At 32.2% G+C, this 18,015-nt stretch overlaps 1 protein-coding gene across 4 annotated transcripts in view; it reads right to left on the bottom strand.

Moving 5' to 3' along the window:
* The window catches only part of EPHA3 (EPH receptor A3), a 374,514-nt gene that overhangs the window by 43,573 nt on the left and 312,926 nt on the right, over positions 1 to 18,015 (bottom strand). For all 4 annotated transcript variants that reach the window (NM_005233.6, NM_001410778.1, XM_005264715.4 and 1 more), the window contains exons 12-13: positions 9,395 to 9,456; positions 7,203 to 7,412 (exon numbers count right to left, since the gene is read on the bottom strand). In NM_005233.6, coding sequence (NP_005224.2) covers positions 7,203 to 7,412; positions 9,395 to 9,456 — 272 coding nt within the window. The remainder of the gene's footprint in view (positions 1 to 7,202; positions 7,413 to 9,394; positions 9,457 to 18,015) is intronic.

Raw genomic sequence — 18,015 nt, 5'->3', positions numbered from 1 at the left:
TTGAAAATGTTACAGAACAAAGGCTCCTGTTTTCTGTTATTTATGTTCTTAGATTGGAGTTACCTGAAAGGAAATATTTAACCTCTTAGCTTTTAACCACTTGCTTAGCCACTTTTCTTTTTTTGCCTTATCCTTAAAATGAAATCAAACAGGCCAGGCACGGTGGCTCACACCTGTAATCCCAGCACTTTGGGAGGCCGAGGCTGGCGGATCACGAGGTCAGGAGATCGAGACCATCCTGGCTAACATGGTGAAACCCCGTCTCTACTAAAAATACAAAAAAAAATTAGCCGGGTGTAGTGATGGGCCCCTGTGGTCCCAGCTACTCCGGAGGCTGAGGCAGGAGAATGGCGTGAACCCGGGAGGCAGAGCTTGCAGTGAGCCGAGATCCCACCACTGCACTCCAGCCTGGGCGACAGAGTGAGACTCCATCTCAAAAAAAACAAAACAAAACAAAACAAAAAAACAAAAATGAAATCAAACAAAACAAAGTTGTATAGAATATATCTGGCATCAATATGGCAGAGTCACAGATCTAAAAAGCCAAATAAATTATTATGTAAAATAAAATGTTGTAACAAAATCTAGTTAGTACTTACTAAGTAGGCAACTTCAGAATAGAAATGAAAAGAAAAAAATCGAATAATGGAGAATATAGCCAAGGACAATTCAATTTGTTTTCTCAAACTTTCCAACTCAGTTTATGTGGTAATTATGCTCCCAAAATGAACTTAAGGACATAGGAAGAATTGAAGTGATGGCTTACCCAGCATCTAAATAAGATAAAAGTCTGTGCTTTCAGTAACTTGATCCTGTATAAAACAGAAAATTAAACACTACCATTTTGGAATTTTGGATTCCATGTATTTCAACATATGAATATAGAAATATTCATCTATATAGATGCATGAATGCATATATACAAAAATACTAACCAGTTAAAGATAAAATTTCATAGAAGCAAAAATTGAAAAATCATTCAGTGGCAAACTGTTCTACAATAGTGTCATGATTCTGTTAGAATGAAGTAAATTAGTAGACCAGGGCAAAAATATAACAAACATGTTATAATTATACTTTCAAAGTCACATGATGAGAAACCAGAGGAAAGGAATTAATTTTTCTGTTTTTTTTTTCAGACACAAAACTTCTTTGATGATTTAAATTTGTGGAGCTAAATGGTCTAATCATATCCATCCCAAACGAAATCCAGGGACTTTCAAGATGATTTGCAAACTTTGGTATGCAGCTGCAGTTCTGCTTTCAAAGCTACTTCTTTAAAATATATTATATCACATAAAACTATGCCATAATTTAGATTTATATCAGTGAATAACGGCAAAAATATTCATTTAGTTATTAAGGGACTTTTTTCCTAGTAAAGTATCTATAACAGTGGCTTTCAATCTGTCATCCGAGCATGTATGTGGGTCCCCAAGAGCATTTTAGGGGTCCACAAGATAGAAACTATTTTCATAATAATACTGAAACTTCATAGCCTTATTCATTCTGAACATCCCATGAGAGTACAGTGGAGTTTTACAGGATGCATAATAACATTGTATAATGGAAAATATCAACATTTGCAATTTCTGCGTAACACAGCAGTAAGAAATGAGAAGAAATAACAACAAGTGAGTATTGGGGAAAAAAATCTGATTCCTTACACAATATCCTTATGTAAAAGAGAAAATAAACATAAAAATGTATAGTACTATCTTAGCTGACCCTTTCATATCCGGCATGCTGTCGAGAACATAAGGAAGGAAAGCTTGTGATACACCTAAGACAGTATAGAACACAGTGTGAGAAAATATCTTTGACTGTCTGATAAATTAAGTTTTGAGCTTAGGTGTTTCCTCAACTCCTCAAATACTCTTCAAAGTTTAAGAAGTTTTAAATACATAATTAGATTATATAATTTCTATACATTCCTCTATTCTGCCTGTCACTCACAGAGATGTTTTAAAACAAGAGCGACAGACATTCTATGTTCAGTATTCTTTTCCACTGACATTGATTCAAATGTCCTTCATGACTCTTCAGTGCAACTACGCTCTACCTACAGGCAGTAACTTTCAGAGGAGCAACCAGGAAAGGGTCATTGCATTGAGGCACCAAATGTTAATCTCCAAATTGTAGAAACTTCAGACACTAGATGAACTGCGTTAAACTTTATTAATGTGACTGACTTTTTAATGCAGATTAACCAGGATCTCTTATCCAAAAGGAATGCCTCAGCAAATTGTTTTGAATGATGAACTTGTTTTTCTGAAATAACAATAATCAGAGCACACTAAATCAAATAAACAAGACAGATGTCTAAGCTGGGTATATTGCTTTGGGTTGACAAACAGACAATATATACACAAAAATGTAATAGTATTTTTTCTTTTTCTTTTCTTCTTCCTTTTAAATTTATTATTATTTATTTATTTTTTGAAAAAGGGTCCTGCTCCATCCCCAGGCTTTAGCTCACTGCAGCTTCAACCTCCTGGACTCAAGTGATCTTTCCACCTCAGCCTCCTGAGTAGTTGGGACCACAGGTGAGCGTCTCCATGCCTAATATATGTTTTTATTTTTATTAATTAATTATTATTATTATTATTGAGATGGATTCTCACTCTGTCCCCCAGGCTAGAGTGCAATGGCACAATCTCCGTTCGCTGCAACCTCTGCCTCCCAGGTTCAAGCAGTTCTTATGCCTCAGCCTCCCAAGTAGCTGGGATTACAGGCGCACACCACCACACCCAGCTAATTTTTGTATTTTTAGTAGACACGGGGTTTCACCATGTTGGCCAGGCTGGTCTTGAGCTTCTGACCTCAGGTGATCTGCCTGCTTTAGCCTCTCAAAGTGCTGGGATTACAGGCATGAGCCACCGCACCTGTCCTATATTATTTTAATACATATACACACATATATATAGTATTTATATATAACATATATAATTTATTTATATATATATAGATGTATTTATATATAAAATTATATATACTATATAGTATATATATACTTTATATAGATATAGTATTTATATAGATATAGCATTTATATATAAAAGTGTATATATATTATATATTATTTATATATATAAATATATATTTATATATATATATATTTTTTAACAGAGATGAAGTCTTGCTATGTTGCCCAGGCTGGTCTCAAACTCCTGAGCTTAAGAGGTCCTCCTGCCTTGGCCTCTCGAAGTGTCAAGATTATAGGCGTGAGCCACCCCACTCTGCTTATCGAGACCAGATTTTATCTTAGTCAAGCCTATATCCCAAAATACTACCTGCTTAAAAATGTTTGATTAATGCATCAGTTATAATTTAGCTTTAAATATAATTCCAAAAGAGAAATTCCCAAAACATTTTGTGCAATATCAGCATTCCTGGAGTAAGTATATATTTATTTCCAAAAGGAAAACTTAGAATGCTGCCTCATTTAGCTGTTTGGTATATTTGTTTTTTTAAAAAATTGAAGTCTTCTTATTACTTCATAACCATACCTCATATTTAGAGTAAACTATAAACTTATTGTACTCAATAAGGCCTATTATGAGAGATTAAATCAATGATGTTTAAATTACTCTAGAAACGCACATGCAAATTACAGCTTCTCGGAAGAAAGCCAGGACTCCCATGGATATTTTGAGGGAGTTCCAAGGAAATACAAAGATGAACCCTGAAGAACTCGAAACAGCTATTTATTGGTGGTGAATGAGCCTATTTGTTCAGTGTGTTTTTAAGAATCTTCAGTGACTGGAACAGAAATGCAAAGAGCCTGTTTCACTTTTATTTCAGAAATGTTAAAGAGCAATTTCCATACGACACTTTTCTTCTAACACTAAAGAGGCCCTGACAAAACAACAATCAGTGTAAAGGAAACATTTAGAGTTAACCCCCTGTGTTCTCCAGAGTATGAATCATCTAAAGTTGGACAAATGTTTCCAATTCCTGCCAGAGAAACTATTCTTTTGAGTATCCTGGCAATCAAGCCTACTTATGGGGACAGAGATGCTCTCACATAATAATTTAATATGGGGCTGGTAACAGTGGCTCACGCCTGTAATCCCAGCACTTTCAGAGGCTGAGGCAGGTGGATCACCTGAGATCAGCAGTTTGAGACTAGACTGGCCAACATGGAGTAACCCCGTCTGTACTAAAAATACAAAAATTAGCCAGGCGTGGTGGCAAGCCACTGTTATCCAAACTACTTGTGAGGCTGAGGCATGAGAGTTGCTTGAATCTGGGAGGCAGAGGTTGCAGTGAACCGACACTGCGCCACTGCACTCCAGCATGGGAGACAACGTGAGGCTCTGTCTCAAAAATTAATAAATAAATAAATAAATAAATAATTTAATATGGCATAGAAATTAGAACCTGACTGAATAACCAGAAATTTAACATTTCAAATAATTTTTTTATCAAATAGTTTTTATTTAACCTAAAAGTATTTTTCTGGCATAATATGATTGTTGTAACACGGACAATATAAGTAAGCATGATACTTTTCATGGACTCTTAGAAGTACTTATGTCATGACAGGTTAAGAGGGATAGCCTTAGAAAAAGAGTAGAAGTGAGTAGAATGAAATACATTCCCTAAGACTGTTAAGTATCACTTGCTGCATATAGTGTCTACTGAATTGGTAGCTCAGTTATTAAAATGATGCTTTGTTGCAGATACATTGGCTGACTAATTTTTCTGGTGATCAGAGAAGGAGAACTAAAAAGCACTGTTGAGGTATTGATCCCATGTTTGGCAATTTCATCATGTTCAGAGCTATATAATTGTAGTCACTTGTAAATTTAATTCAACTAGCTACAAGATAAGAAATTTGTCTTAATTTGTCATGCTCTTATCCATTTGAATTGTGTTTGTTAAGAACAACATTTTTATGTAGGACACATTTTAAGTGTCTAAGGACTTTTTAAAAAATACTCAGATTAAAAAAAAATTTAGATTCATGAACAAAGTAAATGCACTACAGAGTATATTTGAAAATTGGAAAAACAAAAGGGTTTATTATTAAAAGCCATTGGGAGAGTCCTACCTCCTATATCAATGCATCTAGAAATATCCCAACAGCATTGTGTCATTATTATTCAGTGGTTCTATTATTGCGGCTTTACTTGTGGATGAAATGCTATCTGGCATATTAGGTTCTTTATTATAGCATGATATGCATGCCATGTGACAATTTTGATTATTGGAGTTCTCGAGTGATTTGCAAATAGGATGAGCTTTTTTTTTTAATCGGGAATAAACTTTTAAAATTAGATAATAAGAAACAGCAGAAGACTACCATCTTTGGAACCACCTATTCTCTTAGCTGATGAGAATATGGAGAAAGATACTGCCATTAGGAGAGAAAATTGATAACAAACTACAGCAAAGACAATTGGGCAATATATACGCCAAAAATTCTCACATACTTGTATACGTTTTGATCCTGTAATGTTAATTCTATAGAAATATCCCAAGGAGGTAATCATGGACAGACACAAAATAGATATCATGACATCAAAGTATCACTCATAATATGAAAATATTGTAATTCTGCCCAATTAATAGTGCTTTATTTAATTAAATTATGTATATGAATAGAGTATTAGACATTATTGAATATTGTAAAAATATTTAATCATCTGGAAACTTATGTATTTTATATTTTTAAGTTAAAACAGGGCAGAAAACAAAATGGCATTGATTTATATATAAGTAAAGTGCCTAAATTATCGGTATGTTGAAATCATTTTATATATCAGTATATAAAGTATAATCCCATTTTTGTAACTTTATGCCAAAAGAGGAGTTATTTATTTGTGAAAATTTATTTAAAAAAATCGAAAGGCTAAATTTAAAATGCTAATAATTATGTTTGTGTAGTATTAATAGTAATGATTATTAGACATTTACTTGTTTTTTATCTATATTTTCTAAATTTCTACCATGGAAATAATTTTCTTTAAAGAAAAACTTAAAAATTAGCTGGGGCTGGTGGTCCATGCCTGTAATCCCAGCTACTCAGCAGGCTGAGGAGGGAGGATCACTTGAGCCCGGGAGAATCACTTGAGGCCAGGAGTTTGAGGCTGCTACAATGAGTCGTAATTGTGCCACTGCACTCCAGCCTGGGTGACAGAGTGAGACCCTGCCTAAAAAACAAAAAACAAACACAAAACAAAACAACAACAGAAAAGCTCACAAAAAATTCAAATGCATTTTGAATTAAATGGATGCAAATTAAAACATATACATTCAATTTATCCTAACTGATAATAGTAAAATTAATGAAAATACCTAGTTTTATCAAGAGTGTAGTAAAGTGTGCTTTTAAAATATTCACGTAATCTTTGACACAAAACATTCATTTTTAGGAATGTATCATTAGAAAATCATGAGGCTCATAACAATTATGAATGCAGGCAGATCACATACATTGGTATAAAATATGGAAAAATTAAATATAATAATAATTTGCTCACTAATTAGGGTTTGCTTTAAAAAAGATACAACAATATAGAATACAGCAACCTACTACATGTAAAAATTTAAAGATTATTTATTGACAATGAAATATATTCAAGAAGTGTATTGGTAAGGAGAGAAATGGCATACAATTGTATTATGAATAATTGTATTTAAATAATATATTCATGAACAAGTTTGTACATATGAGTATGAAGAAAAATTTGTAAGAATTGACTCACAATCTTATAAATGTTGTCTGTGGATGGCACAATTATGGACAACTTTTCTTTATAGGTCTGTTTTGACATTTTTACAGTATAAATAGGTATTACTTATTAAAAAATTGATTTGAAAGTGCTTTAAAATGATATGTACTGGGATAAGGTCCTTAGAATTTATCCAATCTGCTAGCTCAGGGTGACTCAACCATGGTGAAAAGATGGGTACATTTAAAAATATCAAGATTTGAGGAATGTGAGAATCTTGCTGCTTTTGGTGGGGAACATTAAACTGAGGTATAGAATTTCAGAGTTAAAATCATTAAATGTTAAACAGTGACCATCTATTTACCCAGAATAAATAATAATATTTTAATTTTAAGATATGTTTTCTATTGTGGAAAGCATAATTGACAACACGTTTTGGGTCATGATTTCTACTTATTTACAAATCAACATGATACAAGATGGAAAACAATGATAAAAAAGGAGAAAATCTAAGTTACTCACTCTTGTTGTATAAGCAGCTTCTGGGTCATCCTCCAGGACACGCGAAAGTCCGAAATCAGAAACCTTACACACCAAGTTACTGTTGATCAAGATGTTCCGAGCAGCGAGGTCTCGGTGAACATAGCCCATGTCTGACAGGTACTTCATGCCAGATGCTATCCCTCGAAGCATCCCCACTAGCTGAATGACAGTAAACTGGGCATCGTGTTTCTGGGAAGCATTTCAAATGTACAATTAAGATACGTTCCTATTTCTTAAAGATATATCTTTATTGGTTAAAATCTCACATATTGAATTTTGTAACAAGACTGACTATACACACTTTAGTCCTAAGCACTCAAGACAAAGATATGTGGCAAATGGATACAAGGCTGAAACAAAATAACACACTGGCTATGTTATCAAATACTTTGTAACAGGAAGTATCTTAACGTTCTTTGACTTCAGTTTAAAAGCAAGGACTTTCCTGGTCCTTATGTGACAAAAAAACTAACTCCTGCTCAGACTCATTAAGGTTAAGAACAAAAAAGTGAAATGAATCTTGTGGCTAGTTTAGGTTGATATTTATTTGTTTGATTGAATTTTCATTTCCCCTTCTTTGTTTCCTGATATTTTATGAATTGTTTCAAATAAGGTGGATGCTACATTTTTAAACATTATCATAAATAATTAGTTCATAATTAGTCAAAAATATTTATTGGATATTTGTTTTTCTACCCACTTCTGAATTGTAGTCACAAAATAGAAAGCAATAAGAAACTAAATCACATAATCCAGCTTCCAATCTAATTTAATCTTGGATTAAAATAGAAACATAAGGTTTAAAATGTATAGATAATGTATTTATATAAAATTCCATGTTTAATTACAAACGATAATTTTGAAAGAATATTTATCATAATATTTTAACTCACCTGATTTTGGAAATGTTTATTTTTGAAATAACGATTATGAAAATAATTGCTATTAAAATTTTTATTTGGCTAATGGATTTTAATATAAAGCATATCCTTTCTCAGTCTTAGAAAATTTAAAATTTTCCTCCATGATTATGAATGATACTACATATTTTCTTTATCTATTTATCTATCTATCTTTCTGTCATCTGCCCATCTCAATTTATATAGCAACAAAAGCACCTTGAGGACAGGGCCTATGTCTTTTCTTATCGCCTGCAATGACTGGTAATTGGTATTGTCTTGAACTTCATGAAATTGTTGAACATAACATTTGTTGAAATAGATGTAAATTTAATATATTCACTTTCTTATGGTGAAATATAGTATGTCAAAATATGGCCAGGTGCGGTGGCTCATGCCTGTAATCCTAGCAATTTGGGAGGCTGAGGAGGGCGGATCATCTGAGGTCAGGGGTTCTAAACCAGCCTGGCCAACATGGTGAAACACCACCTCTACTAAAAATACAAAAACTAGCCAGGCATGATGGTGGGCGCCTGTAATCCCTGCTATTTGGAAGGCTGAGGCAGGAAAATCACTTGAACCCAGCAGGCGGGGATTGCAGTGAGCCAAGATTGCACCATTGCACCATTGCACCATTGCACCATTGCACCATTGCACCATTGCCTGGGCAACAAGAGTAAAACTCCATCTCAAAAAATATAGATAGATAGATAGATAGATAGATAGATAGATAGATAGATAGATGATAGATAAACGTATAAAGCTTCTCAATCTAAAAAATTAATGTACATATCTAACAGCAAAATGATATATCTAAATTAAAACTATATATACTTTAGCATTATAGCACATGCTTATTTTCTGACAGCACTGTTTGGAAAGTAGATGGGCTGTCTTATATCAGACTGTGATTAAATAATTATATCAGACTGAGATTACTTAAAAAAGAGACTTTCTGTCTTACATCAGTGGGTTTTATTACTTGCTTTAGGATTCTTTTTTATTTTTATTTAACGAGTGTGAATCTTGGCAGTATAAAAAGAGTCTTTTGAAGAAGAACTCACAAATTTGTTTTAAAAATATAAACCATTAACATTTGAATGCTGCAAAAAAAGATGCAATTTTACAGCCCTTCTCTGTCTATTTAGCCTCAGAAGATTTCAGTTTTACTTTAAACTTAGATTACTGAATTGCTTGGCACAATATTGGAGGGTGTCTCTAATGTTTTCAGCAATTTATTCATATATATGTATGTGTGTGCATCTTACTTACACGTAGGAAACTATCCAAGGAACCATTCTCCATGTATTCTGTGACAATCATAACTGGCTTACCTAGATATACAGTAAATAATAAATAATAATCAGTACAGTTCAAGTATTATACAATGAACATATATAATATAGTTGGATTTACCTGAGGATTATAGAGATGTAAGAACTTTGCCTGTCTTCTAATTTTTAAAAATTTTAAAAAGCCCTAGGTTTCATTAGAAAATAAAACTTTAAAAACCACAAAAATTGGAGAAGATTGGTTTCCAGAACAAAGGCCCATGACCAATAGCATCTAAATTGGTTTGACAGGCCTTTCAAGTAAACAAAAAATATGCCCCTTTCCTCTCTTTAATTAAATTCTCACTTATCTTCAACACCAAATATTTCTGCCTCCAAGCCCAAGATAATGTTAGGAATTTAACATTTATTTATTCTTTCTATGGGTATTTATATGTGCTATATGTGCACACACACATATATACGTGTAGGGCACTGTGCTAGGTGTTCTCTTTTGTGCCGCTTAGTGGGGAGCAAGTAGATCAAAATTTCTGCCTTTATGGATTCTACACGAGTTCTACAAAACAATTCAGAATAATAGTTATAATTATTTACAAAATTTGTTTAACACTTAAAAATTATGAAATGAATGCTATGTTTAAATGGAAAATAAAACTGAAATTAAAATTGCTATTGGCAGTAACTTGTAATAACCAGTTTGCAAATATGTAGCCTAAAATACCATGAAACCTTTAACCCAGCATTTTAATGTATTTAAATAGTACTTATTGTGAGCATGATGCTGGTGTAATTAATTTATATATTAACATATTAAGTATTATTATTTCCATTTTACACATGAGAAAACTGAGACACAGAGGCTAATTAACTTGCTGGTCATCATACATCTAACAAGTTATAAAGCTAAAAGTTGCAACCTGTACACACTATGCTGTCACTTTCGGAAACTGATAATGAGGGAAAAATGTAACATATGAAAAAGCATCAGACACAAAGGTGCTAAGTATAGTGGATACACAGAGCTATGAATATAACAAATGTTCCACTACAGATAATGATTTAGTCAGTTATTGCATGTTAAAGCTATGGATGATTTTAAATTAAAATGATGACCTTAAGACTTAAGCACTTTAGACAATTGTTACAGCGTAATATTATACAAAGCTGAAAATATAATTCTATATACATTATGGTAACAATTAAGAAGATTATGTAAAACTAACATTTTAAAAAGAAAAATACCAAAAAAAGGATGCTTTGATATAAAAGAAATACTGGTAATTTTTTTTTCATGATTAGAATTATGTAACATTGCATTAGGTACTTGACATTTGTTATATCACTTAATCCTCACAGCTTACTTATGCTTTAGCAATATGCATTATTCCCATTTTACTGATTCCTACCCAGAAAACATTGTGGGTTTAAGCAACTTGTTGAGGTAATACAATTAGATAGCAGTCAAGAAAATTTTAAACACGACTGTCTCTAATTTCAAAACCTATACATATTACCACACTGTAATTCCCTTACTTTATTATTCTTATACTATTTTAGTTATAAGTCCAGCATTTTACAGGAAGGAAAATCACTCCTTTTCCAAGTCCAGAAGACGTGAGTTGAGTATTAACCGAGTACTGCTGAAAACTCATAAGCAAATAACAGATGTTAAACAAACATTAATGTACACATAACTGTATAACACAACTTTTCCTCCTATGTGTCTTATTTATCATGAGGTTAGTTTGCCATTCTGATGCTAGAAAATAACTTCCTTTTCTTGATTTTTTCCTTTCATGTGTAAAAAACTCTTTGATTTGTACAAAATGTAAATTATGAGTTAGCATCATGAAGGTTATACTTTTACATTCAGTAATTTGAATATATTCCAGGAATTATGTCTTATTTATTAAGGAAAAATCTATTTAAATTCTATAGTTTTTGAGATAACTTTTATACATGTTACAACCACTTGATACATTGATCTATTTTCCGTTAAGACACTGATTTATGTCTTTAAGGCACCATGTAACATCTATCTAGTTAATGTAGTAATATCTGAAAAATTGCTTCAGTCAAAACCTTGAGCCCCCAGAATTTGCTTTATCAAAATTCCAACTAAACTTTGATTAAACAATATTCAAAAAGAAAGGGAAGATTCACCATTTCCTTGGAAACTTAGATCTCTCCTGAATTAGTATCAGTTCCCTAGAGACTGTTTGATTCTAGATGCCTGGCCTGAAATGAAATGAATGAATAAATGAATGAATGAATAAAATCCTGCATATGTGTACTTTCTATAAATCACCATCAGTTTCTGTCTTTCCTCCTTCATACAGTGCTGGGAGGAATGATATGTTACCAAAATTCAATGCACACTTCAAATGCAGTCACAGATATTTTGCCTCACACCACCAACTCTCAATATCATTGGCCAGTTACTGCATTTTTATACTACTCAGACCTTTACTTATCACTCCTTTCCTTCTGGCTCCCAGCCTTATGACCATTTCTCATTAGCATGTCTAGTGGGATGTTTGGGAAGGGAAATAAAAGTAGCTGAAAAATCAAACCAGTCAATTAAGTCAAAGCCCCATGACCATTCAGAAATCACATCAGCGTGCATTTAACTCTAGAATTCAGGTATTTGTAAACACATCAGTTAAGATGGGCAAGTCTGAAAATGTGCTTTGCATTACGTTCAAAGATTCTGCAAATCAAATATACAAAGAGTAAACAGAATTACAAATATTCTACCTTGGGAAACAGTATCTTGACTTAGGGTTTCCCTTGTGATTTTGATTATGGTAAATAGGGTTAAAGAAAAAGAGACTTCTGTAGTGGCGAGAACTAGTTCCAACATGCATTAAATGTGGTGGGAAATTATTTATAAAATGCCAGCTCATCTGCGCATTATGCCATGTATTTGTACTCAAGTTTGCATGCTCTTCCAGGTGTATTTTGATTTACAAATGACATGATCGTCTTCCTCCAGACAAAGCTTGTATCATTTGCGGCTCTCAGAAACCCCAAAACACATCTGGGTATACATACTAAACTCAATGAAAGTACTGTTCTATGACTTGCTGAAATGAAACCATCAAAAATGAGCAAAACAAAATTTGCAGTGGAGTTTTGCTTTTGTTCTCAAGTTGATTTATGAGTTTAGATAAAATGATGATCTTTCACAATTGTAAAGTAAAGGGAAGCAAATCAGTCTGTTATAATCAGTTCCTTTTCCCAACTATCCCCAGTGGCTCGGAGCTATTACTAGTCATTGAATCGCCGCTTGATGACAGAAGAAATATGATTCAAAATGTCTAAGAATTCCAGATTCAGCACCAGCTATTTTAACACAACCTTCTCAATCACATTTCTTATAGAGTAGAATAATGTGAAATATATACACATACATACGCATATATATATACATATATAGTCAGTCATAAAGATATTTTCTTTGAAATTTTCTAACAAACTTTGTTTTTCAGATTAAAATATTTTCATTCAAACAAACTGTTTATCAGATATTGAAACATTATTAAATATTTACATTTAATAATTTCAAATGGAAATGCTATTAACTCCCTATTAACAACAGTCATTGGGTCTAACACTCTATGTCTTATTTTCAAAAGGATTAAACACACTCTAATGAGGGTATATTATAAAATCAAAACCTTTGACCTTAGCCGCTAGCAATCTATATAATCAGTGTCAGGATGGAAGGAAAAAAAAAAAAAACGGGAGATGGAAAGTTGAAAAAAATTGACAAAATTTGCCTATTTCCAGGAAAGAAGATTTGAATCATCTTTGATGAGAATAAAAAATGTATCATAGATTTTCACATATCATACCTAACTGATAAAAATATTGTAATGAATATTGAACTGAAATATTGAAATGAAATATTGAGCTGAGTTAGGGTATTTTTTTTTGTGGGTTTCTTATTAAATCATTATAAAATTACAGGGCAACGTCTTCCAAATTCCATTTTAATCAAGACATTATTGTGTGGAAATGACCCCTATTACGTCTATGAGTTAATGAGAGCAAAGACCAAGCCCATTTGTCTGTAGTTCTAAATCCAACACCTACCACTGTGCCAGTTACAATTGATCAAATTAGGTCTATAATTTCAGACTGGCTAGAGATAATTTCTTTCTTCAAAATCAGGATGAGAAACACTTTCTCCAAGACTTCCTTAACCAACCCTACTCTATCAATCCTAACACATAGAATGCTTTACTTTCAGCTGCTTGAAAAATATTTATATTTATTTATGCTTAACTTGAAACGAAATTTAACATCTTCAAAGATAACAACTAATTTACTGTCCATTATGCTAGTTAGAGCTGAGTCATGCAGTAAGCACAATAATGTAAGGCATACAGTAAGTGGAATGAATGTATATAATACTCTTAATATGTTGTTTGATTTCATAAAAAGTTTTGTTTTTTTCTCCTTTCCAAGCTTTCTTTTATTTATTTGCTTGCCTAATTGGAAAAGCTTATTTAACAAAAAACAGGATTTCAAAAATATCAGTGAAGACTGTCATTATCAGAGTGCTCAAAATAATGCAAATAAAGGAGCTGATTTATTTGTAAAAGTCAAAAAAAAAGGTTTAAGATTTCCTGTACAATATTGAATTGAAATAATAATAACAACAGGCTTTTTGTTTTCTCTCGAAAAGAAATGCTTTTAAAGTTTTACTATTAAATGTGACATTTGTGGGTTTGTTTGTGTTTGTTTGGGGGCTGTTTACATACCTTTATCAGGAATACATATTTTCTATGTATGATGTGCTAATAAAAAATTAAAATTAAAATAGTTTATTTTTTGCATTTATTAAGATAGAACTTTCTTATTACCTATTAATGTTATGAGTTTTTAGAATTGTTAAATACAAAACCAACTTTTCATACTTGGAATAAACTACACTTGGGAAATGGTGTAGTATCTTTTTTGATACACTTTCAGATATGGCTTCACAATTATTCTAGTGTTATTAAATTTTTGTTTATGCATTACAATAATGTTATTATACTTTCTGATAATAGCTGTATAGTTTGGTATCAAGATATTACTAGCCTCGGCATTTAGAGGTGATACTTTTTTTCCCTTTCTGCAAAGGTTGTGTAAGACCACAGTTATTCAGACAGCTACTAAACTAGTGCTTCATCATATTTCTTCTTTCTCTAGGAGATTTACTGTATATGTAAACCAGTGCTCTAGAAATGGTGTCTTTGGGCACACACAAATCGTGCTCTAACAAATTTTGTAAGTTGATCTTAATTTTTCAAAAATATCAGAAAACCATCCTATACATATAAATGAGAAAAATACACAATACCACACTTTTCTATAAGTCAAAATGGCCTATTCATCCAAGGGACATAAGTGGACAGTGATGAAGAAGTAACAAAAGCTGTTTAAATATGTAAAAATAACATTCCCTGTCTTATATTTTTCTAATATATCGAGCAGTGATTTTTTAATTTTGTTGATGTGGTTACTTAGACAGACATGTTCTGAACTCATTTTAACAATTTGCAGCCATGAATCCATGATAAAACTTGGGTCATTAGAGTTTCCAAAATTTGTTATCCTAACAAACTATCTCTGTAAATTACTAGTATAGTAAGTACAACGTATGTATTGTCTTTTAAGATGACATGAAGTGTAGTACACTTAAGACAAATTTAGAATATTTTTAGAGAGAAACAAACAGAAAATAACTAGAATTTGGCATTGTTACTAAATGATGACCTCTTATTCCAGAAATGTGTCCTTACCGTACATGCAGGGAAACAGGCAACTGGAAGCCAATGGCTAAGCTTTTAGTGAAAGTGGATACTCATGCCACTACAGATAAGTTTTAATTATGAAAATCATCTTAACGTTCTGCCCATGACATTCCTCAATAATGCAAAGTTACACTTAAGTTACATGGTAATTTTTTAAAATTTCCTGAAAATAATGCAAGACAAAATACATTAATCTCATCCAATATAATTCCTTCTATTTCGCTAGGTGAAAAGTGGCCAATGGAAGGTGTTCTTGGAGTCTGAACATTATTTGACTAATGGTGTGATGGCAGAAATATCAAACATTTGCTAAGAACAAGTTCTATCCTTTTGAACTTCAGCTAAAATTGATAACACATGTTAGTACCTTGTTGTGAGCAGAGCCTGTGCCCCCCGCTTTCTGCTACTTTGAAGATCAGAGACTCTCTCACCTTCTCCTGTTTAAGACCATCAGGCTCAAAAACATTAAAATTGTTTGTGGCTAAATGAAAATACAATGACTGAATAAAAAGCTTTAAGAAAAGTTTTCTTCAAATGATTTGAAAATGATACATTGTATTTGACCTAGTGTTTCAAAGCACACAATCGAATAACAATAATAAACAGATTTATCTTTGAGCAAAAAAAGAATTATTTTCAAGAATTTTTTTCTATACACCCAAATTGATTGGTAAAATCTCAAACAACCAGAGGAGTAATTTAGATTTGCACAGTTCTTTGCCACTTAATATATTCTTATGTAATCTCATTTGATCTTTAGTATCTAAAAATAGTAAAGTAGTACTGTTTAATTTTGTTACAAGCGAAGAAATGAATTATGTGTGAATTGTCTGATTTGTAGGAGTTCTCAGAGGAGTAAGGTTGTTTCAGAACTTGAACTCAGATCATTGATTATTAATCTAGATACTGATATGCCTGCTTTTGAAAATATTATTTTGTTCATTAAATTATAAGCTCTGCATCACTCTAGTTGTGTGTGTGTGTGTGCATGTGTGCATGTATAGATGTGCTTTCTGATCTCTGCAGGTGGATTGTTTTAGAAATCTCAGGAAACAAAGACAATAATAGCAGTAGAATAAATAGCTTCTTTTGGAAACACAATCGCTCTGTGTGTGTGTGTGTGTGTGTGTGTGTGTGTGTGTGTGTGTTAAATACAACATATCAACTTTATTGTAAGGAGTTTCTATTTCCTCTCAGATGTTACCGGGTGCCAGACTAAGAGCTTATAAATATGCCACCAAGGAGTTCAAAATCTAATTCTAGGGCTACTACTCTATTATATTTACAATATATGAGATGACTGGGATTTATATAGTCAGATTTGGCAGCTTCTTACATGCTTATTTGACCAGGGAGATATATCAAATTTAGAACTCTCACCCTAAGAATAAGGCAGTTGTAATCCATATTAGAATGTTACAGAGTCGGTTTGAGTAAGATGTTTAATATATAATACCTGCAATTTTTAAAAGTCATTTTAGTGCATTTTTCTACATTTTTTGTCTTAGAGATTGTTTCATAGATTTGTCAGTCTACCATAATCTATATTTAATTGTTTCAGTTTTATATCTAAAGGAAATTTGCCACAACATTTATAGTTTAATGTTGCTTATCATCCAGTAAATGCATTTATAGGAAACAGGAAAATATAAGGAGTAGCTTTCATAATTCATAACACTGAAACAAAAAAATCAACTCATGACTGACAAAATAATAGAGTGAGTTTATTAGTAAGCTTAAATTAGAACCTAATATTTGTGTGATAGTGACTCTTAGCTCATTTTTTTCTTAATTACACATGTTGAAGAAGTTAGATTATGATTCTATTCAAGCTAAAAAGTAATCATTTTTTTTCATCACTCTCTGGGTGATAGAAGTAGTTATTTAAATGCACTCCTTTGAAAAGTGTATTCAATTTAATGAATCAAATACTAAAGAAAGACCTATTGTTAAAAGATATTGTTGTGTCCTCCCTTCCTTCCTTCTTTTCTTTCTTCCTTCCTTCCTTCATCAATATTTTTTTTAATTTTTCAACATTGGTAAATTAAGTATCTATTATGATCCAGGATTTATTTTAGTCACTTGTCATCAAATAACATGGGTTTTTGCCCTCTTTGAGAGTTTATATTTTGTTTTAGATATTAAGGATTATTAATAGTTCCAGAAATTTTTGAAGATTGAGGAATGTCTCACTATGTTAGAGAAGATTTTTAAAGTAACGATATAAAAGAATAAGTAGAATACAGGAAAAGACAAGTAGAAACCTGTTTGGGTTCAGAGTTGGGGATGGGGTGAAATGAACAGAACAAGTTCCCAGTGCTACCTCTAGCATTTTCTAGTTATACAAGCTAATTACCCTTTACAGTTATTGTTTGTTCAAATGTAAGAGAGAAATTATCATGTCTAATTCACAGGGTAGTGGTAAGAATGAAATAATGTCATAGTATAATGTGGGCACATAACAGATACTTCATAATGAAAAACTTGTAAAAATTGAGAGTTAGAAGAATGGCTTCATAAGTACAAGGGAGTTTTCTCTTCCCAGGAGGCTCAAGAGCTAAAAGGCAACCACCACTTGATGCAGATGTAATGGAGAACATTAAATGGCTAAATGACACTAAAATCCCAATGAGACATGATACTGTAACTGTACAGACATAAAACAGTATAGCCTTGCTCAGAAAGAACAAAGGATTCATACACTTTCCCAATCCTTACTAATTATGCCCATTTTTATTAATTATTAACTTAAAATTTAAAAATGTTTTTTATCAGAAAATATTTCTATTAATAA

The sequence above is a fragment of the Homo sapiens genome, chromosome 3 (assembly GCF_000001405.40).
Source record: "Homo sapiens chromosome 3, GRCh38.p14 Primary Assembly".
Classification (NCBI taxonomy): domain Eukaryota; kingdom Metazoa; phylum Chordata; class Mammalia; order Primates; family Hominidae; genus Homo; species Homo sapiens.
Note: the sequence above shows the minus strand (reverse complement) of the source record. Positions and strands in the feature narration are given on the sequence as shown.